Consider the following 26,029-nt stretch of genomic DNA (forward strand, 5'->3'; position numbering starts at 1 on the left):
GCCTGTAATCCCAGCTACTCAGGAGGCTGTGGGATGAAAATTGCACGAACCTGGGAGGCGGAGATTGCAGTAAGCCAAGATCGTGCCACCGGACTCCAGCCTGGGTGATAGAGCAAGACTCTGTCTAAAAAGAAAAAGAAAAAAAAACAAACAAACCCAAAAAACAGCCAGAGAAGGCAAGAGCCCTGGAATGGCCTAAGGTGGGAAACTGCTGCCCTCTCAGCCGCGGGGTCCAGTGTGTGATAGTGAAATCTCTCGTTATCTTAAATTCTCTCTTCAGGGACTTAAACAGAAATTAACAGGGCTGGGTGCAGTGGCTCATGCCTGTAGTCCCAGCACTTTGAGAGGCTGAGAGGGGGAGGATTGCGTGAGCTCAGGAGTTTGAGAACGGCCTGGGCAACATAGTGAGACTCCATCTCTACTAAAAATAAAAAATTAGCTGGGTGTGGTGGTGCATGTCGTAGTCCCAGCTCCTTGGGAGGCTGAGGTGGGAGTTGGGGTTTGTTGTTTTGGACAGATTTACCAAATTCATTTGGACGACGTTACTGAAGCTCCATGAGGCAGAGGCTAACGGACATTGCTGAAGTCCTAGGTTGCATCCCTCATAAAGGCCACCCCCGGGCCGTGCACGGTGCCTCACGCCTGTAATCCCAGCACTTTGGGAGGCTGAGGCAGGTGGAATACCAGAGGTCAGTAGTTGGAGACCAGTCTGGCCAACATGGCAAAACCCTGTCTCTACTAAAAATAAAAATTAGCCGGGTGTGGTGGTGGGTGCCTGTAATCCCAGCTACTCTGGAGGTTGAGGCACGAGAATCGTTTGAACTCGGGAGACGGAGGTTGCAGTGAGCCAAGATCAAGCCACTGCACTCCAGCCTGGGTGACAGAGCGAGACTCTGTCTCAAAAAAAAAAAAAAAAAAAACCCAGAAAGGCCAACCCCCGCACCCCTCAGCCCCCGCACCCCTCAGTTAGCCATGCCCAGGGACAGTCAGAAAGCATCTGTGATATCAGTGGACATTGGGGCCCAGCCCAGGACTGGTGTGTCCCCTCCTGTGCCTGCAGGCTTGACACAGCAAGGCCCTCCCTCTCGCCCCCAAGTCCCCACACTTGTCAAGGGCATCACGGCACATTCCAGGAAAGTTGGTTGATGTCACGGGAGTCGAGACCTCATCCTGACGCCCAGCTCAGCAGGGCCACCGGGGCTCAGGTTAGGTGGTGCCATAGTTGGGGGACAGTCCCCATAGGGTTGCGCCCCCAGAGTGCCCTAGGGAATGAGGCCCACTGCTACTGCCACCAGCCCAGCTGGCATAATTGATAAATAAGTGTGGTTCTTTTAAGTTGGGCAAGTGTGTATTTTTAAATAACTGACTGCTTAATTGTACGATTAAAAACAGCAGAGCTGGGTGCAGGGGTGCGTGTCTGTGGTCCCAGCTCCTTGGGAGGCTAAGGCGGGAGGATCCATAGAGCCCAGGAGTTTGAAGCCAGCCTGGGAAACATAGGGAGGAGGCCCTGTTTCCAAAAAAAAAAAAAAGGATGAAGTGGGCTGTTAGCACTGAGTCATGGCGAGCAAGGTGAAGAAGCCCCACTGTGGCTGTGTGGTGAACTCAGTCATTCACAGCCGGGAGGGGCTCGATTCAGTTACTTTCCTGAATGTTTTCACTGTTCCGACTGCACCAGGGAGGAACCACATCCTCTACGCCTGCAGAAGCAAAATTTCTCTCCCGAGAGTCTTGGAATTCTGCGGCCCACATGTATGGTGACCAGCTCTGCAAGGGGCTTTAAAAACCCCAGTGTCGGCTGATTTGTTGGCTGACACCGCGCCCGGCACCTCCAGGATGTGGCCGGCATCGTGGAGGGGCTGCTGGCTGCCTGCCTTGCTTTCAGTTCCACATGGAGACAATGACTCTGCTGCACTGAGTTTCAAGAATTTTGGCAATAAAAAGAGCCTATATGACCTATTTATGAAGTATTCCAGAATCACTTACATGAATATTTTGTCCTAAATTCTGTATAATTAGAAGATATAAACCCCACATTGTGATTATTTTTGTTCACCAACATAACCTAAATTAGAACTCTCCATGCGGGCTTTCAGAAAAGAAAGCATTTGAACAAAAACATAAAAGGAATTGGTTTTATCCACACCGTTCTCAAATACTTGAGAGTAACGTGTTTGCTTAAGTAACATCGATATCTTGTTTACTGTTATTTGATTTGCAGACCTTTCCTCTTTACCAGTACCAGTAGCAGAAAGGTAAATTGTACTGAAACGTTTAAAAAGTCGTAAGTTCTGACTTTGAGGCCTGATGAACCATCACGGGATTCTCCCCTGCCTGGTTCCTTTTCCCCGGAACCTCACATCAAGCAGAAGCTTCCTTGCGGGCGGCCCTTGTTGCAGGCGGTCTTGGCGAGAGACATCCCCATTTCTGCAGCTGGACGGTGAAAGGGACGTTGTTGTTCTTGGCCATTTGGCAGGTGTTCTCTGACTGCCTCTTCTCCGCTGGGCCTGCCGCACAGGGAGGGCAGGTGGGACCGCCCCCCAACCCCTGCCGCAGGGCCTACCGAGAGTCCCATGGCGGGCGGGCAGAGGTGGGCTAGTGTTGCATTAAGTGACTTCCCGTAGCAGGCTGTTCAGTGCTGGGGCAGCCTTCTAAGGGAGGAGGCTTGTGGGCTGAGACCTCTTCCCTTTTTCATCATTTGGGCTTCCGGGGCATAGAATGGGATGCGTCATTGGCCTGGGGTCTGTGCTGCTGTTGGGCGTCTGTGCATAGTCCTCTTTTGTCTATTTTCATTATTTTTATTTATTTTTTTGAGATGGAGTCTTGCTCAGTCACCCAGGCTGGAGTGCAGTGGCGCGATCTCAGCTCACTGCAACCTCTGCCTCCTGGGTTCAAGTAATTCTCCTGCTTCAGCCTCCCAAGTAGCTGGGATTACAGGCGTGCACCACCACCCTGGGCTAATTTTTGTATTTTTTTAGTAGAGATGGGGTTTCATCATGTTGGCAGGATAGTCTTGAACTCCTGACCTCAGGTGATCTGCCCGCCTCGGCCTCCCAAAGTGCTAGGATTATAGGCGTGAGCCACCTCACCCAGCCATATTTTCGTTATTTTTAATAATGTAATGGGAACCTCTGGGCTCACCGTCAAGCAGAAGCCAGCCTTGATACCCAGCATCCTGCCAGCCCCTCCCCAGCATCCTGCCAGCCCCACCCCAGCATCCCGCCAGCCCCTCCCCAGCTGCCCCACGCCCGGCTCCTGCCCCAGCTCTGTGTGTCCTGTGCTCTCCCTTCCCCACCACCCTATGCACACCTTTCTCTGCCTGGGTCCACACTGTCACCTGCTGTAGCTCTACCCACAGGCCATACCTGCCTGGTGGGCCCCTCCTCCCTGCCCCTGTTTTTGTGGAAGGACAGGTGGAAGTGGGCGGGTGGGGTGGGTATGGTGGGTGATGATAAAGAGCATTCTAGGCCAGGGCAGGAATGCAAGCACATGGGTGTGAGGGGCCAGGTGTGTTCAGGGATCCTTGGCACTTGTGGGGTGGCGGGAGCACTGGCCAGAGGAGGGCTGGGGTAGGGGGAGGCTCCTGGCCCTCTGGGGGGCCCTTGGTAGAGGAAGGGGCATTGCTTGTGTGGGTGGTGAGGGACCTCTGGTTGGGTGGGGGGGGTTAGGTGTTTTAGGAGGCTTTGGGTACAGAGATGTCCAGGGGTAAAGTGGAGCTTGGTCTCAGGACAGTTGGCCCTGGCATCTGTCCTGCCCTGGGGGGCTAGGAGGGCCGGACTGGAGATGGAGGCTGGGGCTGTCCTGGTCCCAGGTGAGGTGGCATCTCCTAGGAGGGAGGAGAGGGTTGGTGCCCTGCAAACCCTGGGGGAGGGGCAGCACGGGGAGCTGGGGTTGGGGGTGAGGAGGGGCGCCCCACATGTTCTGAAGCGCTCTGGAGTGGCTCCAGCCCGGCCAGCACTAAGTTTTGCTGTCTGTGGTTTGCTGTGCCTGTGTCCGCTGCTGGTAACCAGTGCATCGGGACTTGGGCTTTCTGACTGCACCAGGTTTGTTTCTGCTGCTCTGAGTGCGGTGCCCAGTCACCGAGGTACCTGTCGTTCCCGCCTCCTGTGGACTGCGTGGCCTGGCGTCGAGGCAAAGCAGCAGGAAAGTTGGGTCCGCATCCCAGCCCCACATGCGGCCCGGGGGGAGAGTGTGCCTTTCCCCTGGAGACACACAGGGTGGGGGAAGTGAAGTCAGTGGCAGGCACCCAAGAGGGGCACGTTTTCAATCCCAGGGTGGGCGTGGGTACTAACTACAGGTAGAGACCATGCGACGCAGCGGGTCTGCACGCCTCAGGGTTCTGGAACAATCCAGACGGGGACATGGGGGAGATTGGCCACTGGGACTGGTGTTTCACTTGGCTGCCTCTGGACATAGTGTCTCTTCCGACTTTATTTTCCTGGGTTGTGAATCTCCCTTTTATGCCACAAAGGTCCCCCACCCAAGGGACTCTCATCCTGCAGCCCATGGGCCTGGCCCTGTGTCTGGAAAGGGGAGGTGGCGCCCTGATGTTCTGGGCCTGGTGGTCAGTATGGGCACAGAGGTGCAGGGGTAGAGGATTCCACATTTTGAGAGAAAAACAGGCGCCCCTCAAGGCAGCTCAGCCCTAGGTGAGGTTGGCTTTGGGCACACCCATGGGAGGCCCCTCTTCCTGCCCTGAACCCTCTGAGCGTCACCCCTCCCACCCAGCCACCAGAACAGCCTTTCCAGCTGCCCCTCCAAGTCATCGCAGGGACCCCTGCGGCCGGTCAGGGGGCCAAGATGGGGACACCCAGAGAACCACAAGCCCAGGCCACACAGGCAGGTGACTGCATGGGCAGGTGAGCACCCCATCTGACAGGTGCCAGGGTGAAACACGACTTGTCCAGATCCCCGGCCTTAACACCCAGTGCTGTTTCTGTACCCTGGCCACCTTCCCAGCTTACCCAGGGAGGCTGAGGAGTGGGTGCACAGGAGGAGTGGGAGCTGGCCGAGGGGCTTGCAGAGGGTCAGAAAGAATCTGCTATCCTGGTGGGACAAGCACCCAGACCCTGGATGCTCTCCGTGCTGGAAGCGTTGCTTCAGTGCATTAGGATGGGTTCACTTTCTCGTAATTCACTCTGAGGACACGTTGTTGGAATCATTGTGCATAGTTCTGGATCAGCACCATGACGGGAGGTCAGAGGGCTGCCTGGCGCAGTTTCTCTGCTGCCTGGATTGACCATGAGGACAAGGACTAGCTGTGCCCAGCCCCCTGCTTCCCGTGGATAGGGACTCTGGCTGCTGGCTCGTGCCATCGGGGCTGGAGTCTTAACTGGTGAAATCACATTTATGAGGCTGATAGCCATCAGTTTCCACAGACGTAAGTGTGGCCAGGATGACAGATGTCCCTGGCGGCCCTTTCTGCAGGGTCCTGCAGGGACTCCAGGGCCATCTGGCCACAGTCCCGAAGTCTTTGTCACCATCCCTCTGTGGGTGGGTGCTGGTGCCTCCTGGGCTGTTGAGTGCTTGGCAAGGGGCTCGAATGGCCTTTCTCTTCTCAGTTGAACCAGTTGATAGAATCCTGTTTCCTTTTGGAATTTAGAGATTAGCCTTTTTTATTTTTTTCTGAGACGGAGTCTCATGTGCTCTGTTGCCCAGGCTGGAGTGCAGTGGCACGATCTCACAATCTCAGTTCACTGCAACCTCCATCCCCATAGTTCAAGTGATTCTCCTGCCTCAGCCTTCTGAGTAGCTGGGACTACAGGCACATGCCACCACACCCAGTTAATTTTTGTATTTTTAGTAGAGACAGGATTTCACCATGTTAGCCAGGCTGGTCTTGAACTCCTGACCTCAGGTAATCCATTGGCCTCAGTTTCCCAAAGTGCTGCAATTACAGGTGTGAGCCACCATGCCTGGCCCAGATTAGGCTTTAAAAATAGCATTCTTTTGTCCTCTTGGGGCCTTTTTTCCACCTGTCACTGAGACCTCCACTCCTTTGCAGAGCTTGGATGGCTGCAGGGCTGGCTTAGCTGCTGCCTCCAGGTGGGATCGGGAGCCACCCTTCTCAGCGTCCATCCATCTGTCAACCTGCTGGACTGGTTAAACCAGGTCTCCACGCCTGCTTTCGATAAGTCCTGCCCTCCCCTGGGAATCGGCGGCCAGACCTTTGGGTCCTTTGGAGAGCTGCAAAGTGGCTCAGCAGGAGCGAGAGGTTTCCTTGGCTGCTGGAGACTTGCAGGTGCCAGGTGTAGGCCCTGGAGGTGGCACACAGACCAGCTCCTGCTCAGTGCCCTGTGTCCCTCCTGGCAGGAGGCATACTGCTAAGCAAGGCTGTTTTAAAGAGGGTTTGTTTAAGTTGGATGTTTAGGAGGTTAGGTTCCCCCAAGGAGAAAATGCTATGAAGCCCCCAAAGGCGTATGGGGATGAGATGATGTGGTGAGTTGGAATCTTCTTTAGATCCAGAGGAACTTCTTTGGGTGGTAGTTACCTCTCCTTCTCTCTCTCTTGCTCAAGTTTCAGGTGATTTTCTGGCCTGGTTTCATTTATCTATCTATCTATTTATTTATTTATTTTTTGAGACGGAGTCTCGCTCTGTCGCCCAGGCTGGAGTGCAGTGGCGCGATCCCGGCTCACTGCAAGCTCCGCCTCCTGGGTTCACACCATTCTCCCGCCTCAGCCTCCCGAGTAGCTGGGACCACAGGCACCCGCCACCACGCCCGGCTAATTTTTTGTATTTTTAGTAGAGACGGGGTTTCACCGTGTTAGCCAGGATGGTCTCGATCTCCTGACCTCGTGATCTGCCCGCTTCGGCCTCCCAAAGTGCTGGGATTACAGGCATGAGCTACCACGCCCGGCCTCTGGCATGGTTTTAATTAGGACAAAAACAAGTACAGTTTGATTTGCAAGTTACCCTTCTGGGGGCAAGTTTAGGTGACACGTTGGTTTTGTTTTGTTTTGTTTTTACCATTATCTGCTTGTAGAACTTGCCTTTAGAGCACTGTACAAGGTGGCATTTTTTTAGTCCATTAGGTTTTGGCATTGGCGGCCTTTTGTTTTGTTTTGTTTTTGAGACAGAGTCTTGCTGTGTCGCCCAGGCTGGAGTGCAGTGGCACAATCCCAGCTCACTGCAACCTCCACCTCCTGGGTTCAAGTGATTCTTATGCCTCAGCTTCCGGAGTAGCTGGAATTTCAGGTGCATACCACCATGCCCAGCTAATTCTTTTATTTTTAGTAGAGACAGGGTTTCTCCATGTTGGCCAGGCTGGTCTCAAACTCCTGGCCTCAAGTGATCCTCCCGCCTCAGCCTCCCAAAGGGATAGGATTACAGGTGTGAGCCACCACACCTGGCTGGGTGGCGTTTTTTTGGTGAAAATTTAATGAGAATTCTAGGGAGATGTTTGGGTGTCTTGCTGCTCTGGTAAGTGGAGTGAGGGAGTGTCTGTGAGATGGAGAGCGGGAGGGAGGGGTGGATGGACTGGTTATTTGCACCTCGGTGTTTGTTGCCAGAGGATTCTAATTGAGCAAGCTGTAAGACCTTGTCTAGGATGAGTCCTGGCCTGAACGCCTCTAAGTTGCTTTCTCTCCCACTTTGGAGAAAAGCAGTTCTGGTTACCGGCTTGATTTGCTGTGATTTGCTGACTGCCGGCTCCTGGCTCACCTGTGGGTCTAGGTGGTAGCTTCTGGTTAGTTGAGGTATATGGGGGTCTGCTTGGGGGAAGGAGCTTGTTTAGAATGTGGGGAGACCCTGAGGTCAGACAGGGCCTGTGGTGCAGCTCCGAGCTCCTTGAGGGCCAAGTATACCCGAAATTGGAACTAGGAGCTGACACTGAAAGCCAAGTCCTCAAAATCCGTGCGGGCCAGCGGGGAAGGATGGAGCTGGCCTTGTCTGGAGAGCACGCTTAGCAGCTACATGGTGGGTTTCAGGCTGGGACTGAAAGAAGGGGAACCAGGAGGGGACATGCATGGGAAGAGGGTAACACAGGAGACAGGAGCCGCCCTGCACCCAGAGGGCTAGGGTTGGGGGTGGTGGGACTGTGAGCTCCTCTGGTGGCCTCCGGTGCCCACCAGCTCAGTGCCCTGCAGCACCCCCGGAGGAGGATGGGGGTCCCAGGGAACTGTGTGACACAGAGGCCGTGACAGAGATGGAGGATCAGATCAGGACATCCCAAGTCCTTGACAGAACCCCTAGCACACAAGAAGTAGATTTTTGGAGCCTTTGTTAACAGATGGGACCACTGGGGGTCAGATATTTCTGCTGTTGAGCCACCCTGGGCGCAGACAGGGCCTGTGTGTGAGAGTGCTTGCGTTGTCAGTTACGCAATTTGCAGATGGCTCGTGATTTTTCAGACGTTGAGCTGGTCGTTTCATAGTTGTGCTTTTAGATACTAAGTTGTTTTTTTTTTTGAGACGGAGTCTTGCTCTTGTTCCCCGGGCTAGAGTGCAGTGTCACGATCTTGGCTCACTGCAACCTCTACCTCCCGGGTTCAAGTGATTCTCCTGCCTCAGCCTCGCAAGTAGCTGGGATTACAGGCTCCTGCCACCATGCCCGGCTAATTTTTGTATTTTTGTATTTTTAGTAGAGATGGAGTTTCACCCTCTTGGCCAGGCTGGTCTTGAACTCCTGACCTCAGGTGACCCACCCGCCTCGGCCTTCCAAAGTGCTGGGATTACAGGCATGAGCCACCATGCCCAGCTGATACTTAAGTTTTTTTGAGAATTAAAATTACCTAGTGAAAAATTACCTAGCAACCTGCATTTAATGTATTAGCTCCATTCTCTGAAATGAGCATCTTGGTTCTGTCTGGAAGATGGAGATTGAAATGTTTCCACAAGTCAGCACCATCGAACATGATGGCCCCACATGCCTACGAGTTCCATGGTCGCCGTCGCTGGAGCAAAGGCGTGTTGTGAGGTGTGACTGCTTTTGCAGAAAAGTGACCATCGGAAGGCTTTCCCCACGTGGGGACTCCTTAGTCCTGAGTCAGTGAGAATCCCAGGTGTGTCTCACCACCGGCGGCACCTTCTCCCTGTAGGACTGTCTGTCGAGTGGCTGACTGTGAATCTCATCTGACCTTAAGGCCACCAGGAAGCTTGCTGGTTATTTGTCAAAGGGTCCTGCGGAGAGTGGAAGAGTCCTTTAGTCATAAAAGGATTCTTCCTGAGGTGTCTGTCTTGGGAATCGACTGTTTTATGCCTCGATTTTTAAAGGCTGGTGACACCTGTGCCCTTCTGTGAGAGAATCACCTGCCTGTGACCAGTGCCCGCAGCTGTCACCTGGAGCTGTCACCCTGTTCCAGTGGTGGGATGTGGGCCACTGCTGAGGGTCTCCTAAAGCCCCATCAGAGAGAGCGTGCAAAATGGAAAGGGCCCCCACAGATTTGCTTAAGCAGAGGGGGGCTTTGCCAGCTTGGGGCCAGGGGCCTGCGGTATGGAGCTGCTTGGGGTGCTCTGGCTGGGTCGCTGGTCTCCCCTTCTTCTGACGTGGTGCTTTTTCACCCTCCACGCCTCCTTCTGCTTCCCTTGTGGCTTCATTCCCGTGATGAGGCAGAGCATGTGATTGGCAGCCCCTCACCATGGGATGGGTAATTCCCCGTGGAGAGCAGGGTCCTTACCAAAAGAGGGACAGGGATGCTGAGTGGGGGAAGCACAGACAGTGCACAGGCAGGCATGGAGGAGACAGCGGAGCAAGGCGGCAGGTGCGTCCTGTACACTCAGGTGCTAAGCCCCGGTCGCAGAGCCCCTTACAGCCTCAAGCGATGGAGGACACTGGCGAGTCTTTGTGCATGTGGGGTGTATTCATTGCCACTCGCTATTAGAAATCAAAACTAAGAAATTTAAAAAGATTTATTAATTTACTGAAATATGCAACTATAAATCTATTACATGTTAACATAAATAACATGTCTTTCTTTAAAAAGAAATCACTACTTGGGGCCAGGTGCAGTGGCTCATGCCTGTAATCCCAGCACTTTGGGAGGCCAAGGCAGGCGGATCACAAGGTCAGGAGTTCAAGACCAGCTTGGCCAATATGGTGAAATCCCGTCTCTACTAAAAATGCAAAAATTAGCCAGACATGGTGGCAGGTGCCTATAGTCCCAGCTACTCGGGAGACTGGGGCAGGAGAATCACTTTAACCTGGGAGGCGGAGGTTGCAGCCAGCTGAGATTGCACCACTGCACTCCAGCCTGGGTGACAGAGCGAGACTCTGTCTCAAAGAAAAAAAAAATCACTACTTAAAAAAAGAATTAGTGAAGAGGGGTGCCGACATTTTGTAGCTCTCCTCGGGGTGTGATTTGTCAGGAGACAGCTTGTCTTCTGTGACCCGTCGGCCGCCGGGTCACACCGTGCAGCTGCCAGGGGGCAAGTGTGGGAAAGGCAAGCAGCATTTTAGGATTATCACTGGAATAGTTTCGACCTTGTGGGTCCTCAGAAAGGAATCCCCAGGGTCCCTGGGCCACACTTTGAGAACCTCTGGTTTAGGTCTTAGGCAAGATTCTCTGCCATGTGAATTAGGGTGTTTTGGGTTTTTTGTTTTTATTTTAATTTTTATTTTATTAAAATTTTTAATTTAATTTAAAAATTAGATCAGGTGCAGTGGCTCACGCCTGTAATCTCAGCACTTTGGGAGGCTAAGGCGGGGGGATTACCTGAGGTCAGGAGTTCGAGACCAGTCTGGCAACACGGTGAAACCCCATCTCTACTAAAAATAAAAAAATTAGCCAGACATGTTGGCATGTGCCTGTGATCCCAGCCACTCGGGAGGCTGAGGAGGGAGGATTCCTTAAGCCCAGGAGTTTAAGGTTGCTGTGAGCTGTGATTATGCCACTGCACTCCAGCCTGGGTGACAGAGCAAGACCTTGTCTCTAAAAAACTTTTTTTTTAAGTTAAAAAATTTAGTTTACTGTGGAATAGTTGATGCTTTCAGGATTCCGAACTCACCATGGATCAAGGCTCCTGATGGCTTCAGCCCCCAGTTCATATCTCCAGAGGTCTCCATTGGTCCTGCTTCCATGCCAGCCCTTCTTGGGCAGCTCTTGGGCATGCTTCTTTGTCTTTTTTCTCCTCTCCTCCTCCTCGTTTCCATAGACACATGGCCAGGCACGTGCTGGCAAGTGACCACGTCGGCGGTGGGCTCTCCATGGTGGTGCACGGGGGTCCTCGCTCCTTGCGAGGCTGTGGGGCTGCACTGTGGATTGTCCCACATGGGTGGGTCCAGCCTTTTTGCTGTCATGAAAACGATGCTGCCGGGAGACGGCCTTGCCCCACCGCCATCGTGCGTGTGAGAGACTAGGAGAGCTTCCTGGAAGTGAAATCACCATTTTGTTGGATATTGCAAAATTTCCTTCCATGCCACTCTCCACGTGGGACAGAGCCTGTGTCCCCTGACCCCACACCCACATGCTGTGCCTCTTTGCCAGTCTTTTGGGGAAGTGGTTTCCCAAGGCAATTTAGTTTGTATTTATCGGCTGGGCACAGTGACTGATACCTGTAGCCCCAACGCTTTGCGAGACCATGTTGTCCAGGAGTTCGGGACCAGCCTGGGTAACATGGCAAAACCCTGTCTTTACAAAAAGTACAAAAATTAGCTGGGCATGGTGGCGTGCACCTCTAGTCTCAGCAACTTGGGAGGCTGAGGCAGGAGGATCACTGAACCTGGGAGGTCGAGACTGCGGTGAGCTGTGATCGTACCACTGCACTCCAGCCTGGGTGACAGAGTGAGACTCTGTCTCAAAAAAAAAATTGTATTTCTCTCATTATAAGTGAAGGTTAATCATCTTTACATTTGTTTAAGGGCTGTTTGTTTTTCCTTTATCTTTTGTCCATTTTTCTCTTTTTTTTTTTTTTTTGAGGCAGAGTCTCTGTCTTCCAGGCTGGAGTGCGGCTCACTGCAACCTCTGCCTCTTGGGTTCAAGCAATTCTCCTGCCTCAGCCTCCTGAGTAGCTGGGCCTACAGGCACATGCCACCACGCCTGGCTACTTTTTGTATTTTTAGTAGAGATGGGGTTTCACCATGTTGGCCAGGCTGGTCTCGAACTCCTGATCTCGCTATCTGCCTGCCTTGGCCTCCCAAAATGCTGGGATTACAGGTGTGAGCCACCACACCTGACCTCTTGTCCATTTTTCTATTGAAATGTTTGGCCATGGCAGGCAAATGAATCCTTTGTGGTGTGTGTTGAAATTTTTTTTCCCGGGTTATCATTTATCTCTGACTGCTTACGGAGGTTTTTGCCTTGCAAAAATTTGTTTTTAACATAACGTATCTTCTCTTGTTTTTTTTTTTTTTTTTTTTTTTTGAGACGGAGTCTCGCTGTGTTGCCCAGGCTGGATTGCAGTGGCATGACCTCGGCTCACTGCAAGCTCCGCCTCCTGGGTTTACACCATTCTCCTGCCTCAGCCTCCCGAGTAGCTGGGACCACAGGCGCCCGCCACCACACCCGGCTAATTTTTTTGGTATTTTTAGTAGAGACGCGGTTTCACCGTGTTAACCAGGGTGGTCTCGATCTCCTGACCTCGTGATCCGCCCGCCTCCGCCTCCCAAAGTGCTGGGATTACAGGCATGAGCCACCGCGCCCGGCCTCTTCTCTTTTTTTTTTTTTTTTTTTGAGATGGAGTCTCACTCTGTCACCCAGGCTGGAGTGCAGTGGCGCGATCCTGGCTCACTGCAAGCTCCGCCTTCCGGGTTCACGCCATTCTCCTGCCTCAGCCTCTCGAGTAGCTGGGATTACAGGCGCCCACCACCACGCCTGGCTATTTTTTTGTATTTTTAGTAGAGACGGGGTTTCAATGTGTTAGCCAGGATGGTCTCGATCTCCTGACCTCCTGATCCGCCCGCCTCGGCCTCCCAAAGTGCTGGGATTACAGGCGTGACCACCGCGCCCAGCCTCGGCCTCTTCTCTTTTATTGTGTTCCTCATCTCGCTGTGACAGACCTCGTCCAGTCCCAGGGTTATGGGTGCCCCTCCAGGGCCACCTTTGCTACATGAATGCTTTCCTTGTTCTGCATTCAAACCTTTGGTCTAATCTGAATTTATTTTGGGAAGGTGTGAGGTGCAGAGCCAGCCTTATCTTTTTCTAGGTAGCTTCCTAGATGTCCCAACGTGATTGGTGGAGTGAGTTATCTCACACCCTCCTATTAAAATGCCTCTGATCACAATTGGGTCTGAGTCTGTTTTTGTACCTTCTCGTGGCTCTGTTTTCTGTTCATGCGCCGTTAACATGCTTTGAACTCCGCTGCTGCCCCATTGCGTTTGCGTGGCAGGGCTGGCCTCCCCCCGTCAGTCCGGCTTTTCAGAATTTTCCTGGCTATTTGGCTTGTTTATTTTTCCCTATAAACCTTAGATCCAGATTGTCTTGGTTCTTCTAAAATCTGTTGTTTTTCTTTTAAGGGAAATTACATTCAATTTGTAGATTTTCAAAGGGAGGATCGGTTTTCTCTCTCTCTCTCTGTATAAATTGTGGTAAAATAGACATAACACAATGTACCGTCTTAACCATTTCGGAGTGTGTCATTTACTGGCGTTAAAGCACATTCACACTGTTCTGCAACCGTCACTACCATTCATCCCCAGAACATCTGATCTTCCCCAACCGAAACTCCGCACCCACAAAGCACTGACTCTCCAGAGCCTCTCCCCACCCCCGACACCTCCCAATCCACTTCCTGTCTCTGTGCATTTGACTCCTCTGGGGACTGCAGATAAGTGGAATCTCACAGTGTCTATCTATGACTTCCTCCTTTCACAAAGCAGAATGTCCTCTGGGCTCACCCAGGTTCTGGAGCCATAACGTCCTCTGGGTTCACCCAGGTTCTGGTGCCATAATGTTCTGTGGGTTCACCCAGGTCTTGGTGCCATAATGTTCTCCGGGTTCACCCAGGTTTTGGTGCCATAATGTTCTCTGGGTTCACCCAGGTTTTGGTGCCATAATGTTCTCTGGGTTCACCCAGGTTTTGGTGCCATAATGTTCTCCGGGTTCACCCAGGTTTTGGTGCCATAATGTTGTCTGGGTTCACCCAGGTCTTGGTGCCATAATGTTCTCTGGGTTCACCCAGGTTTTGGTGCCATAATGTTCTCTGGGTTCACCCAGGTTTTGGTGCCATAATGTTCTCCGGGTTCACCCAGGTTTTGGTGCCATAATGTTGTCTGGGTTCACCCAGGTCTTGGTGCCATAATGTTCTCTGGGTTCACCCAGGTTTTGGTGCCATAATGTTGTCTGGGTTCACCCAGGTCTTGGTGCCATAATGTTCTCCGGGTTCACCCAGGTTCTGGTGCCATAATGTCCTCTGGGTTCACCCAGGTTTTGGTGCCATAATATTCTCCGGGTTCACCCAGGTTCTGGCAAATGTCAGAATTTCCTTCCTTTTCAGGGCTGAGTAATATTCCATGGTGTGGATGGGCCACATGTTGCTTATTCGTTCATCTGTTCATGAACACTTAGGTTGCTTCACCCTTTTGGCTCTTACGAAAAATGCTGCAGTGAACATGGGTATGCAAATATCTCTTCAAGACCTTGCTTTTAGTTCTTTTGAGTATCCCCAGAAGGGGGATTGTTGGATCATATGGTAGTTCTATTTTTCGTATTTTGCGGAACCTCCATACTGTGATTCACAGCAGCTGCACCATTTTATACCCCACAAACAGTGCACAAGGGTTCCGGTTTCTCCCCATTCTCGCCAACACTTGTTGTTTTCTGAGTTTTTGATCATGGCCGTCCTAATGGGTGTGAAAGGGTCTCCCCTTGTGGTTTGGTTTGCATTTCCCCCAGTGACGACTGTGCTGAGCATCTCTGCATGGGCCTATGGCCGGTGCTGAGCATCTCTGCATGGGCCTATGGCCGGTGCTGAGCATCTCTGCATGGGCCTATGGCCGGTGCTGAGCATCTCTGCATGGGTTTATGGCCGGTGCTGAGCATCTCTGCATGGGTTTATGGCCGGTGCTGAGCATCTCTGCATGGGCTTATGGCCGGTGCTGAGCATCTCTGCATTGGTTTATTCCTGGTGCTGAGCATGTCTGCATGGGCTTATGGCTGGTGCTGAGCATCTCTGCATGGGCTTATGGCTGGTGCTGAGCATCTCTGCATGGGTTTATTGACCAGTGCTGAGCATGTCTGCATGGGCCTATGGCTGGTGCTGAGCATCTCTGCATGGGTTTATTGACCGGTGCTGAGCATGTCTGCATGGGCTTATGGCAGGTGCTGAGCATCTCTGCATGGGTTTATTCCTGGTGCTGAGCATGTCTGCATGGGCTTATGGCTGGTGCTGAGCATCTCTGCATGGGCTTATGGCTGGTGCTGAGCATCTCTGCATGGGTTTATTGACCAGTGCTGAGCATGTCTGCATGGGCCTATGGCTGGTGCTGAGCATCTCTGCATGGGTTTATTGACCGGTGCTGAGCATGTCTGCATGGGCTTATGGCAGGTGCTGAGCATCTCTGCATGGGTTTATTCCTGGTGCTGAGCATGTCTGCATGGGCTTATGGCTGGTGCTGAGCATCTCTGCATGGGCTTATGGCTGGTGCTGAGCATCTCTGCATGGGTTTATTGACCAGTGCTGAGCATGTCTGCATGGGCCTATGGCTGGTGCTGAGCATCTCTGCATGGGTTTATTGACCGGTGCTGAGCATGTCTGCATGGGCCTATGGCCGGTGCTGAGCATCTCTGCATGGGTTTATTGACCGGTGCTGAGCATGTCTGCATGGGCTTATGGCAGGTGCTGAGCATCTCTGCATGGGTTTATTGACCGGTGCTGAGCATGTCTGCATGGGTTTATGGTTGGTGCTGAGCATCTCTTCATGGGCTCATGCCCAGTGCTGAGCATCTCTGCGTGGACTTATTGGCCGATTGGACGGGCACTCGGGTTATTTCCACCTCTTGGCTTGGGCGAATGGTGCTGCTGTGGACATGGGTGTGCCAGTATCTCTTTGTGTCCCTGCTTTCAGCTCTTTGGATTATACCCAGAAATGGGATTGCTGGGTCATATGGTAGTTCTGTTTTGAATTTTTTGAGGAGCTGTCGCACTGTTTTCCCTGGCCCCCTGTATGGCTATGGCTTACCCTCCCCAGCTGTGGGCACTGGAAGCAGGCCAGAGCGTTTGCCTGAGAATCCAGTGAGTCCAGAGCTCTGCTGCCGACCCCACCTCACTCCGACAGCCCAGTGCCCCTGGTCTCCCTGCCGGGCCCATGGGCGTGCAGGAGCAGTGAAGCCTGGGGTCCCATCCCCCACCCTGTGATGGTTGTGATGTCCTTTCCTGAGCCACAGTTCCCTCGTGTCTTTAAAAAGGGGGGGGTCATACAGCATTAGGAGAAATACCTAATGTAAATGACGAGTTGATGGGTGCAGCAAACCAACATGGCACGTGCATACCTATGTAACAAACCTGCATGTTGTGCACATGTACCCTAGAACTCAAAGTGTTATAAAAAAAGGAGGGGTCATAATAATAGTCGCCAATAGTTATGGGTTCTTAGTACCTGCCAGGCTGGGTGACAGGTGTAGGGGAGCCAGGAACCAGCCCTCCACAGGCTGGTGTGTAGGGATTGAGTCAGGTGCGGCCAGGAGGCACCGGGCAGGTTACTGTCCCTTACGAAGTGTGGCTATGGCCACCATTAACGTGGGGGTGCCAGGGGATTCGCCCGATGCTCCCTGCCTTTGCTCCTCCCTGGATGCATCCTGACATGCCTGCTTGGCTCCATCTCCGCTGCCCGCACCAGTCCCAGCCACCGCCCTCTCTCCTCTGCCTGGCCACGGTTTCCTAACTGGTATTTCCACTTCAGGCCTCTTCCAACCATTGGCCAGGGTGCTCCACGCTGTGCTCGGAATGGGACCGAGTGCCCTACCACAGCCTCTCTGCTCCCACCAGCTCCTTTCTGGTTTGTTTTGGCAAAAGTGCCCTGCATGTGCTGCTCCCTCGTCCCGGAGTGCCCTTCCTCTGCAGCCTGCGACCTGTCCTTCATGCCCTCAGCCTGCGGTGCCGCGACTGCTCCTCTGAGCACCTTCCTGGGCTGGTGCCGGCTGCCCCCCCAGGGGCCGTGGGGTGTCTTCTCCACAGTTAGGGCAGCACTTCCAGCTCCATGGGTTTGTTGGCCTCGCCTCCTCTGTATCCTTGCGCTGAGGGTCCTGTCGGGCACGTAGTAGGTGCTCATTAAACACTTAGTGCGTGGCTCGGTCATTGTGGTTCGTGGACATGCAGTATTCCAGCTCTAAGATGCACTGCCTGCTCCTTGTTCTTGTTCCCTAGTCCCTAGTAGATGGCGAGCAGCCCCTTAGCAAGCCTGTCCAGCCTGCAGCCTGCAGCCGAAACATGTGCTTCTCTCATCTTCCATCAGGGCCGCCCGTGCTCTCAGGCCTGTCAGGACACTCTTCTGTGAGACTGGACTATCAGAGCACCCCAGCTGGCAGGTGGTTACCTGGGCAACAGGTGTGAAGTGGACCTTGCGGGTTTTTGATCTTCCTTCTGAAATAGTATTTTGGGCCGGGCATGGTGGCTCACACCTGTAATTCCAGCACTTTGGGAGGCCGAGGCAGGCGGATCACCCGAGGTCGGGAGTTGGAGACCAGCCTGGGCAACATGGCGAAACCCCATCTCTACTAAAAATACAAAAATTATCTGTGTGTGGTGGCGGGTGCCTGCAGTGACAGCTCCTTGGGAGGCAGAGGCAGAAGAATTGCTTGAACCCAGGAGGCAGAGGTTGCAGTGAGCCAAGATTGCATTACTGTACTACAGCCTGGGCGACAAGAGCGAAATTCCGTATCAAAATGTGTGTGTGTGCGTAGCTGGCCAATATATATATTTTTTTCTTGGCCAGCTGCTGTGGTTCATGCCTGTAATCCCAGCACTTTGGGAGGCTGAGATGGAAGGATGGCTTGAAATCAGGAGTTTGAGACCAGCCTGAGCAACATAGTGAAATCCCATCTCTACTAAAAATTTTTTAAAAATTAGCTGGGCAGTGGCACGTGCCTGTAGTACCAGCCTCCCCAGAGGCTGAGTTGCGAGGATCACTGGGCAGTGGCACGTGCCTGTAGTACCAGCCGCCCCAGAGGCTGAGTTGCGAGGATCACTGGGCAGTGGCACGTGCCTGCAGTACCACCTACCCCAGAGGCTGAATTGGGAGGCCACAGTGACCTATGATTGTGCCATTGCACTCCATCCTGGGTGAAAGAGTAAGACCTTGTCTCTAAAAAAAAAAACAACAACAACCCGAAAAGCCCAAAACATTTTTTTTTGTTTTTTCTTGGCTCTTGGGTTTTGCCCCAGAGACATACATCGCAGACCGCTGAGTGGCGCTGGTTGCTGTCTGGGCCGGCTTGGCCTCAGGCGATCCTGTTGCCCTCCGCGCAGGAGCCTGGGTCCACCTTCTCCTGGCTGTGTGCTTCCTTAAACACGGAAGGTGTTCCGCAGCCTGCTGTGCGGGGTAGCCCTGTGTTGGGCTTGTATGTATCCCAGGGCTTGGTCCATGTGGGAGAGTCTTGGTAGGCCTGGCGGAGCCCTTTGACCTCAGCTGGGCCACATTTAAACAAAAGAAGTTGACAAAAGGGGAGGTAGTGGTTTGGAGGTACACAAAGGCTCTTTTCACGGGAGGAGCTATTTGAGGCCATGTGGGTTTACTTCTGTACTAGATTTGCCCAGGGACCCAGGAACTTCTGTAAAATCCACCTGACTCACCCATTCATTTGCTGCCAGTTCTTTGGTGCCAGGCCGTGTGCTGGGCCCCAGGGACACGGCACGCTGATGGTCAGAGAGGCCCACGCACACACTGGATTCCGCATTGTGGAGTGCGAGTGCTTTGGGGATGTGGAACAGCAGAGCAGGGTCTGCAGAGCATCCCACCGGGGAGGGCCGTGGGGCCCCAGGCAGGAGGCGGTGCTTAGGGCTGGCTCCTGGCTTCACCAGTCTTCTTCACTGTGTTGTTGTTTGTCACTGGGCAGTAAGAGGCGCCTCTCTGAAACCTGAGGGGCGGCCCGGCTGCTGGTAGGTGTGGACGGGGGCCTACACTGGTGGCTGTTCTGAGTCGGTTCGCCTTCCAGCACCCCTGAGTGTGGCGCCCTCCTTGCTGGCTCCTCTGCCTTGGGTGGGACCTGGGATGGTGGGGAGAAGCCCCCAGGCTACGGCCCAGGTTGGATAAGAGGGTGGATGGTGGCACGTGGGATCCTTCACCAAGCTTCTTCTGCCCCCAGGAACTTGGAGACCGTCCAGGCTGCCCCAGCCTGGCCAGGGACCACGCCTTATTCCTCACCCTTCCCTTAAGAGGACTGGATGGTGGCAAGGCCCACACATGAATCTGTGATGCGCGGGCCACTTAAAGGAGCACGTGCGTGCCTGGTGAGGGCTGCGGTTCCCTCTGGTCTGCCCTGTCCCTGGCGTGGGTTAGTGGGGACATGGGCTTCTGTGAGCGTTCTTATTCTGCTAGGCATCTGTGGACCCCGGACAGGGACGGTCAGTGACAGCCCACGGACCACACACCACCCACTGCCACCTGTTTCTGCCTGTTTTGTAAATGGTGTCTGATTTGTACACAGCCGTGCCCATTTGCACCACAGCAGAGTTGGGAAGTTGTAGAGGCCGTGTGGCCTGCTGGGCTGAAGGTGTTCACCGCCCGGCCTCTCACAGACTGGGCTTGCTGAACCCCACCTAGGAGCCGCTCCCTGTGCCTTCGCGATATTGCAGTCTTTGATGCAGAAACACGTCTGGGGAACAGCCTGCTTTCAGACAGCTTTCAGCTTGTGGGAAATTGGGCAAGGGCAGTGGCAGGAAGACATGGCGAATCTGGGGAATCCAGAAGGGGCTTCCTTTCGGCCATCTCATTGGCTGGTTATTCTCAAGCCCTGGTTGCTAGGAGTGATGGAGAGAGTTGGAAAAAGAATGTTTCCACTAGAAACGCATCCCTCCGTGTGTTTCCTGTGGCTTAGTGTATTTGCTTCTACAACACAGTAGTTTTTGCTTGCCTACCTGTGCCTACACTTAGGTTTTCTTGCCAGCTTTGTTTTCTTTAAATAAACATCTTTGCAGGCCGGGAGTGGTGGCTCATGCCTGTAATCCCAGCACTTTGGGTGGCAGAGGCTGGGGGATCAAGTGAGGTCAGCAGTTCGAGACCAGCCTGGCCAACATGGTGAAACCCCATCTCTACTAAAAATACAAAGAATTAGCCGGGCATGGTGGCAGGTGCCTGTAATCCCAGCTACTCGGAAGGCTGAGGCAGGGGAATCATTTGAACCCGGGAGACAGAGGTTGCAGTGAGCCAGGATCACGCCATTGCAGTCCAGCCTGGGTAACAGGAGCGAAACTCCATCTCAAAAAAAAAAAATATTAAATAAAAAATAAACATCTATGCGGTCACTCTGCCAGGGTCCCCATTCAGGCTTCTAGGCAGAGGGGCCTATGAGCTGCCATATGGTGTGATGGATGGATTAATAGAGGCATATGCTGGGGAGGGTGGGGTGACGGGTGCTAAGCTGCTTCTGGGGCTGTCGTGGGGTTTAAGCAAGCTCAGGCCATGGAGTCCAGTGGAGTCAGTTCGTGTTCCTGTTGTGCCACTTCTTTCTCACCCTGCCTTCCCGAACCTCAGTTTACCCATTTGTCAGGTGGTTTAGCAGATGCTTCTTCCTTTCAACATTGTGATTGGGGTAGGGGAGATGAACACTGGTGGGAGCTTGTCACTCTCGTCCTTTCATCCTGCTTTGTACACTCCGAGAAAGGCTTATTGGGCAGAGGCTGCCCTTCTGAGGTGTGGATGGAACTGTTGGTGACATTATTTTTATTAATTTATTTTTAGAGACAGGGTCTCGGCTGGGTGTGGTGGCTCATGCCTGTAATCCTAGCAGTTTGGGAGGCCGAGGTGGGTGGATCACGAGGTCAGGAGATCGAGACCATCCTGGCTAACATGGTGAAATTCCATCTTTACTAAAAATACAAAAAAAAAAAAATTAGCCGGGCATGGTGGGGGGCACCTATAGTCCCAGCTACACGGGAGGCTGAGGCAGGAGAATGGTGTGAACCCGGGAAGCGGAGCTTGCAGTGAGCCGAGATTACACCACTGCATTCCAGCCTGGGAGACACAGCGAGACTCCATCTCAAAAAAAAAAAAAAAAAAAAAAGAAGAGACAGGGTCTTGATCTGTTGCCCAGGCTGGAGTGCAGTGGTTCGATCATAGCTCACTGCAGCCTTGAACTCCTGGTCTCAAGCGACTCTCCTGCCTCAGTCTTCTGAGAAGCTGGGACTACAGGTGCACACCATCCCGCCTGGCTAACTTATCTTTTATTTTTCGTAGAGGCGGGGTCTTGCCGTGTTGTCTGGGCTGGTCTTGAACTCCTGGGCTCAAGTGATTCTCCTGCATTGGACTCCCAGAGTACTGGGATTTCAGGTGTGAGCCACTGAGGCTGGCCGATGGTACTGTTGTTATTGTTACTGTTACTGTGGTTTCCTGACCATGGATGCTGTGCTGTGGACCTAGATTTGGATGATGTCCTTGGCCTGTTGGAGGAAGGCCTTCTCTCCTTGGTGTCAGGAGTTGGTGGTGTTGAGCAGGCTCAGGTGCGCGGGAGGCCTGGGGGAAGTGAGGGCACAGTGCTTGGTCCTGAGAATAGCCTGTAGCAGGCGCTGCCAGCCCTCATTCACCTGAGGCTTCCTCTCAAGGCCCAAGCTGGTGTAAGCCTGGACTGTGGCCCAGGTTCCCTGGAGATGGGCTCCTGAGCTCACACGCGTGCTCAGGTGCCCCTGCTACCTCTACCTAAAGACCTGGAAACCGAGGGTTAGGACTGGCTTGACCTGGGCAGCCTGGTGCAAGGAACCTTACTCTCAACCCTTTAGGGCTGGATCACGGATGGGAGCAGAGGGTGTGGGCCTGGTTTGTCTACAGCTGGGGCAAGGACAAGCCGTGCTGGCCAGTGGGTGGCCGAAGGCTGCTGCGCCTTCCCTGACGCGGTCTCCTGCTTCCCGGGGCCCCCAGGCTGAAGTGCTGTTTGTGTTCTGTGTGCCATGGTTCTCTCCTGTGGCTGCCCACAGCCCCTGCTCACCCACAGGCCCTTCCTGCCCCACCCGTGGACTTTGGGCTTGGGTCCCTGCTCGGGAGCTCGTAGTGACTAGCAGCGTCTTGGGATGGTCTCAGAACTTTTTACCCTGGCTCCCCACACCCACAAGACAGCGCTGCCTCCCCAGCGCCTGTGGTTATGCAGTGGTGATGTATGGGGCGTGAGAGCAGCGTTTGTGGAACACTTTTTTGGAGAGTAGGGCTGTGTTTTTGCTGTCGTTACCACTGCTGGCTGGGCAGGTTGCTGAGTCCTTCCAGCACTCTCATGTTGTCCTCTAACAGCCCTGAGCAGGGGCCCCTGTCCGAGGTCACACAGCTGTGGCCAGCCTGGGCCTGGCTTCCGGCTGCCGCGACCCACTGCATGCCTGTGCTTGAGATGATCTGGTGGATAGTGGGACACATGTCCACTCCTCGAGGCTCTCCAGCCCCGGTGGTACTTAGGGCGACTGGAGCAGATGTGGGTCAGCCCCATTCGGTGCTGGAGGCACAGAGGGCCAGGATGCAACCCCTAGCCCCGCACAGGCGAGTGTTCCCTGTGTCCCCGAGCTGCTGTCGCTGTGGTATGTGGTGGTTTTGGGTCCTCCAGGCAGGGTGATGTGATTGAAGTAGAGAGTAACTTGGGCTGGGTGGCGGCTACCCGATGGCTGGGAAGGCCGTCTCGGACAGAGGGCATCGCTTGGGCAGCATCCTGGAGGCCAGGAAGGGGCCTCCATGGTGCAGAGGGCAGGGTGCCAGGATGGGGCTAGAGGTCAGGCTGCTGTTCCTGAGTCAGAGATGGGCCCACCCCACCCCGAGGCTTCAGTGCTGCCATACACACCCCCTCCTGCCCTGGAGGCGGGCTGCCCGGCTTGCTGCTTCCTGCTTCCCAGGCTGTCTTTGACCCCTTGGGGCCTCTCAGGAACTCTTTTGCATTTAGACCTCACCTTCTATTTCACGCATCTGTCTCAAGCCTGCTGGGAGGGAGGTGGGTGAGGGGAGGCTGCTGCTGTTCACGGAGCCCTGTGCCCTCATGGCCGTCATGGCCGCGGCTGCAGCAGTGTGAGGAGGGATCTGGAGGCGGCTCACGCGGGTTCCCAGGAGCTGATTGATGGATTTTCAGGAATTCTGTGAGTTGGCCGTTAATAAAAATGAAAATACATTAACTTGCAGTTAGATCAATTATGTTGAAAGCAAAGGCATTGAATACTCGAACCCCATCATTTCTGAATCATATGATAGCATTTTACTATTGCGTGTGCTGCCGAGGTTCCCTGGGCCTGCCGCGCGTGGCAGAAACGCTGTGCAATGATGGCCGCTGGCATGGCGGGAGTGTGTGCACCAAGGGCGGGGCGCTGCTGCCACTCGGGGCCTCACTTCTCCTTGTGTTGGTTGTCTAGACTTACCAAACTGATGAGGAAAGTGTTAACGTGCAGATGAAGCTAAAAATTGTGTGAGGTCTGTAGCCGTTCATTACGAATGGCGTAAAAGCCTTGTGAAAATATTCTGCCATTGGAAAGCAGCTACCTTATTCAGCAAGGACATTTCCCGTGTTGTAGACTCACAGGTGGCGTTCCCCTGCATGTCTCCCTTCCACCTTTGTTGTGGTTTGTAAACGGAAACAAAAACACCAGCCAGCATCCGTGTGGTGCTCATTGGTGGTGGCTGCCAGGGGCCAACCGTGGAGACAGGATTTGAGCACAAATTCATGAAAGCATTCTGTGGGAGTCAGTTGGCTGTCCAGAATTTATACTTTATGGGTAGTGCACATTTCATGATTATTTGCAGATACGTGCCGCAGGTAGTAAACATAGGACATGTGCCTGTGCGTGTAGGTTCCCCTGTGCGTGTAGGTTCCCCCGTGTGAAGGTTCCCCCGTGTGTAGGTTCCCCTGTGCTTTATAGGTTCTCCTGTGCTTGTAGCTTCCCCTGTGCATGTAGGTTCCCCTGTGCGTGTAGGTTCCCCTGTGCATGTAGGTTCCCCTGTGCGTCTGGTTTCCCCCGTGTGTAGGTTCCCCTGTGCATGTAGGTTCCCCCGTGTGTAGGTTCCCTTGTGCATGTAGGTTCCCCCGTGTGTAGGTTCCCCTGTGCGTGTGGGTTCCCCCGTGTGTAGGTTCCCCTGTGCGTGTAGGTTCCCCCGTGTGTAGGTTCCCCTGTGTGTGCGGCTTCCCCTGTGTGTGCAGGTTCCCCTGTGTGTAGGTTCCCCTGTGTGTGTAGGCTCTCCTGTGCTTGTGGGTTCCCCCATGTGTAGGTTCCGCTGTGCGTGTCGGTTTCCCCGTGTGTAGGTTCCCCCGTGTGTAGGTTCCCTTGTGCATGTAGGTTCCCCCGTGTGTAGGTTCCCCTGTGCGTGTGGGTTCCCCCGTGTGTAGGTTCCCCTGTGCGTGTAGGTTCCCCCGTGTGTAGGTTCCCCTGTGTGTGCGGCTTCCCCTGTGTGTGCAGGTTCCCCTGTGTGTAGGTTCCCCTGTGTGTGTAGGCTCTCCTGTGCTTGTGGGTTCCCCCATGTGTAGGTTCCGCTGTGCGTGTCGGTTTCCCCGTGTGTAGGTTCCCCCTTGTGTAGGTTCCCCCGTGTGTGCGGGTTCCCCTGTGTGTGCAGGTTCCCCTGTGTGTGTAGGTTCCCCTGTGTGTAGGTTCCCCTGTGCGTGTAGGTTCCCCTGTGCGTGTAGGTTCCCCCGTGTGTAGGTTCCCCGTGCGTGTAGGTTCCCCCGTGTGTAGGTTCCCCTGTGCGTGTAGGTTCCCCCGTGCGTAGGTTCCCCTGTGCGTAGGTTCCCCTGTGCGTAGGTTCCCCTGTGCGTGTAGGTTCCCCCGTGTGTAGGTTCCCCTGTGCGTGTAGGTTCCCCCTTGTGTAGGTTCCCCTGTGCGTGTAGGTTCCCCCGTGTGTAGGTTCCCCTGTGCGTGTGGGTTCCCCCATGTGTAAGTTCCCCCGTGTGTAGGTTCCCCTGTGCGTGTAGGTTCCCCCGTGTGTAGGTTCCCCTGTGCGTGTAGGTTCCCCCGTGTGTAGGTTCCCCTGTGCGTGTGGGTTCCCCCATGTGTAAGTTCCCCCCTGTGTAGGTTCCCCTGTGCTTGTGGGTTCCCCCGTGTGTAGGTTCTGCTGTGCGTGTTGGTTCCCCCATGTGTAGGTTCCCCTGTGCGTGTCGGTTCCCCCGTGTGTAGGTTCCCCCAAGCGTGTAGGTTCCCCCTTGTGTAGGTTCCCCTGTGCGTGCAGGTTCCCCTGTGTGTAGGTTCCCCTGTGTGTGTAGGTTCCCCTGTGTGTACGTTCCCCTGTGTGTACGTTCCCCTGTATGTACGTTCCCCTGTGCGTGTAGGTTCCCCTGTGCGTGTAGGTTCCCCCGTGCGTGTAGGTTCCCCCGTGTGTGCAGGTTCCCCTGTGTGTGTGGCTTCCCCTGTGTGTAGGTTCCCCTGTGTGTGTAGGTTCCCCTGTGTGTACGTTCCCCTGTGTGTACGTTCCCCTGTGTGTAGGTTCCCCTGTGCGTGTAGGTTCCCCTGTGCGTGTAGGTTCCCCCGTGAGTAGGTTCCCCTGTGCGTGTAGGTTCCCCCGTGTGTAGGTTCCCCTGTGCGTGTCGGTTCCCCCGTGTGTAGGTTCCCCCAAGCGTGTAGGTTCCCCCTTGTGTAGGTTCCCCCGTGTGTGCAGGTTCCCCTGTGTGTGCGGCTTCCCCTGTGCGTGCAGGTTCCCCTGTGTGTAGGTTCCCCTGTGTGTGTAGGTTCCCCTGTGTGTACGTTCCCCTGTGTGTACGTTCCCCTGTGTGTAGGTTCCCCTGTGCGTGTAGGTTCCCCTGTGCGTGTAGGTTCCCCCGTGCGTGTAGGTTCCCCCGTGTGTGCAGGTTCCCCTGTGTGTGTGGCTTCCCCTGTGCGTGCAGGTTCCCCTGTGTGTAGGTTCCCCTGTGTGTGTAGGTTCCCCTGTGTGTACGTTCCCCTGTGTGTACGTTCCCCTGTGTGTAGGTTCCCCCGTGTGTAGGTTCCCCTGTGCGTGTAGTTTCCCCCGTGTGTAGGTTCCCCTGTGCGTATAGGTTCCCCTGTGCGTGTAGGTTCCCCCGTGTGT

General features: G+C 54.1%; 1 protein-coding gene across 13 annotated transcripts in view, besides 4 other annotated features; it reads left to right on the forward strand.

The window, feature by feature from the left end:
• GRAMD4 (GRAM domain containing 4) overlaps nt 1-26,029 on the forward strand; it is a 107,013-nt gene that overhangs the window by 15,189 nt on the left and 65,795 nt on the right. The window contains exon 1 of one of the 13 annotated variants that reach the window (XM_047441205.1): nt 6,156-6,435. The exons of 11 other annotated variants lie outside the window; for them this stretch is intronic. In XM_047441205.1, the coding sequence (XP_047297161.1) occupies nt 6,398-6,435 (38 nt within the window). In that variant the 5' untranslated portion in view covers nt 6,156-6,397. Of the gene's footprint in view, nt 1-6,155; nt 6,436-22,946; nt 23,125-26,029 lie in introns of those variants that run through there. One more of the 13 variants, XM_006724170.5, reaches the window with a different exon arrangement.
• Nucleotides 2,571-2,630: a silencer, noted in NCBI's record as "silent region_13915". NCBI's record gives its function as "represses an Ori minimal core promoter by ATAC-STARR-seq in GM12878 lymphoblastoid cells {active_cell/tissue: GM12878}" and the evidence as "EXISTENCE:reporter gene assay evidence [ECO:0000049][PMID:35858748]".
• Nucleotides 8,000-8,499: an enhancer, noted in NCBI's record as "H3K4me1 hESC enhancer chr22:46994829-46995328 (GRCh37/hg19 assembly coordinates)". NCBI's record gives its function as "activates a minimal SCP1, AML or CMV promoter by ChIP-STARR-seq in primed H9 embryonic stem cells {active_cell/tissue: H9 hESC(primed)}" and the evidence as "EXISTENCE:reporter gene assay evidence [ECO:0000049][PMID:30033119]".
• Nucleotides 13,720-13,799: an enhancer, noted in NCBI's record as "active region_19243". NCBI's record gives its function as "activates an Ori minimal core promoter by ATAC-STARR-seq in GM12878 lymphoblastoid cells {active_cell/tissue: GM12878}" and the evidence as "EXISTENCE:reporter gene assay evidence [ECO:0000049][PMID:35858748]".
• Nucleotides 22,421-22,560: an enhancer, noted in NCBI's record as "active region_19244". NCBI's record gives its function as "activates an Ori minimal core promoter by ATAC-STARR-seq in GM12878 lymphoblastoid cells {active_cell/tissue: GM12878}" and the evidence as "EXISTENCE:reporter gene assay evidence [ECO:0000049][PMID:35858748]".

The sequence above is a fragment of the Homo sapiens genome, chromosome 22 (genome assembly GCF_000001405.40).
Source record: "Homo sapiens chromosome 22, GRCh38.p14 Primary Assembly".
Classification (NCBI taxonomy): Eukaryota; Metazoa; Chordata; class Mammalia; order Primates; family Hominidae; genus Homo; species Homo sapiens.